We start from the raw sequence: 1,721 nt of genomic DNA on the forward strand, positions 1-1,721 counted from the left end.
TTTCCTTCATTACAACTTTGGTGAATCTGACAATTATGTGTCTTGGAGTTGTTCTTCTCGAGGAGTATCTTTGTGGCATTCTCTGTATTTCCTGAATCTGAATGTTGCCCTGCCTTGCTAGATTGGGGAAGTTCTCCTGGAAAATATCCTGCAGAGTGTTTTCCAACTTGGTTCCATTCTCCCCATCAGTTTCAGGTACACCAATCAGATGTAGATTTGGTCTTTTCACATAGTCCCATATTTCTTGGAGGCTTTGTTCATTTCTTTTTATTCTTTTTTCTCTAAACTTCCCTTCTCACTTCATTTCATTCATTTCATCTTCCATCACTGATACCCTTTCTTCCAGTTGATCGCATCAGCTCCTGAGGCTTCTGCTTTCTTCACGTGGTTCTTGAGCCTTGGCTTTCAGCTCCATCAGCTCCTTTAAGCACTTCTCTGTATTGGTTATTCTAGTTATACATTTGTCTAAATTTTTTTCAAAGTTTTCAACTTCTTTGCCTTTGGTTTGAATTTCCTCCTGTAGCTCAGAGTAGTTCGATTTTCTGAAGCCTTCTTCTCTCAACTCATCAAAGTCATTCTCCATCGAGCTTTGTTCCATTGCTGGTGAGGAGCTGTGTTCCTTTGGAGGAGGAGAGGCACTCTGCTTTTTAGAGTTTCCAGTTTTTCTGCTCTGTTTTTTCCCCATCTTTGTGGTTTTTTCTACTTTTGGTCTTTGATGATGGTGATGTATAGATGGGTTTTTGGTGTGGATGTCCTTTCTGTTTGTTAGTTTTCCTTCTAACAGACAGGACTCTCAGCTGCAGGTCTGTTGGAGTTTGCTAGAGGTCCACTCCAGACCCTGTTTGCCTGGGTACCAGCAGCAGTGGCTGCAGAACAGCAGATTTTCGTGAACTACGAATGCTGCTGTCGGATCGTTCCTCTGGAAGTTTTGTCTTAGGGGAGTAACTGGCTGTGTGAGGTGTCAGTCTGCCCCTACTGGGAGGTGCCTCCCAGTTAGGCTGCTCGGGGGTCAGGGGTCAGGGATCCACTTGAGGAGGCAGTCTGCCCCTTCTCAGATCTCCAGTTGCGTGCTGGGAGATCCACTGCTCTCTTCAAAGCTGTCAGACAGGGACACTTAAGTCTGCAGAGGTTACTGCTGTCTTTTTGCTTGTCTGTGCCCTGTCCCCAGAGGTGGAGCCTACAGAGGCAGGCAGGCCTCCTTGAGCTGTGGTGGGCCCCACCCAGTTCAAGCTTCCTGGCTGCTTTGTTTACCTAAGGAAGCCTGGGCAATGGCAGGCGCCCCTCCCCCAGCCTTGCTGCTGCCTTGCAGTTTGATCTCAGACTGCTGTGCTAGCAATCAGCGAGACTCCGTGGGGGTTGGACCCTCCGAGCCATGTGGGAGATATAATCTCACAGTGTGCCGTTTTTTAAGCCCTTCAGAAAAGCGCAGTATTGGGGTGGGAGTGATCTGATTTTCCAGGTGCCGTCTGTCACCCCTTTCTTTGACAAGGAAGGGAACTCCCTGACCCCTTGTACTTCCCAAGTGAGGCAGTGCCTCGCCCTGCTTTGGCTCGCGCACGGTGTGCTGCACCCACTGTCCTGCGCCCACTGTCTGGCACTCCCTAGTGAGATGAACCCCGTACCTCAGATGGAAATGCAGAAATCACCCGTCTTCTGCGTCGCTCACGCTGTGAGCTGTAGACCGGAGCTGTTCCTATTCGGCCATCTTGGCTCCCCTGCCA

At 49.2% G+C, this 1,721-nt stretch overlaps 1 annotated feature.

The window, feature by feature from the left end:
* Positions 725–1,391: an enhancer, noted in NCBI's record as "OCT4-NANOG-H3K27ac-H3K4me1 hESC enhancer chr20:22026257-22026923 (GRCh37/hg19 assembly coordinates)". NCBI's record gives its function as "activates a minimal SCP1, AML or CMV promoter by ChIP-STARR-seq in primed H9 embryonic stem cells {active_cell/tissue: H9 hESC(primed)}" and the evidence as "EXISTENCE:reporter gene assay evidence [ECO:0000049][PMID:30033119]".

The sequence above is a fragment of the Homo sapiens genome, chromosome 20 (assembly GCF_000001405.40).
Source record: "Homo sapiens chromosome 20, GRCh38.p14 Primary Assembly".
Lineage (NCBI taxonomy): Eukaryota > Metazoa > Chordata > Mammalia > Primates > Hominidae > Homo > Homo sapiens.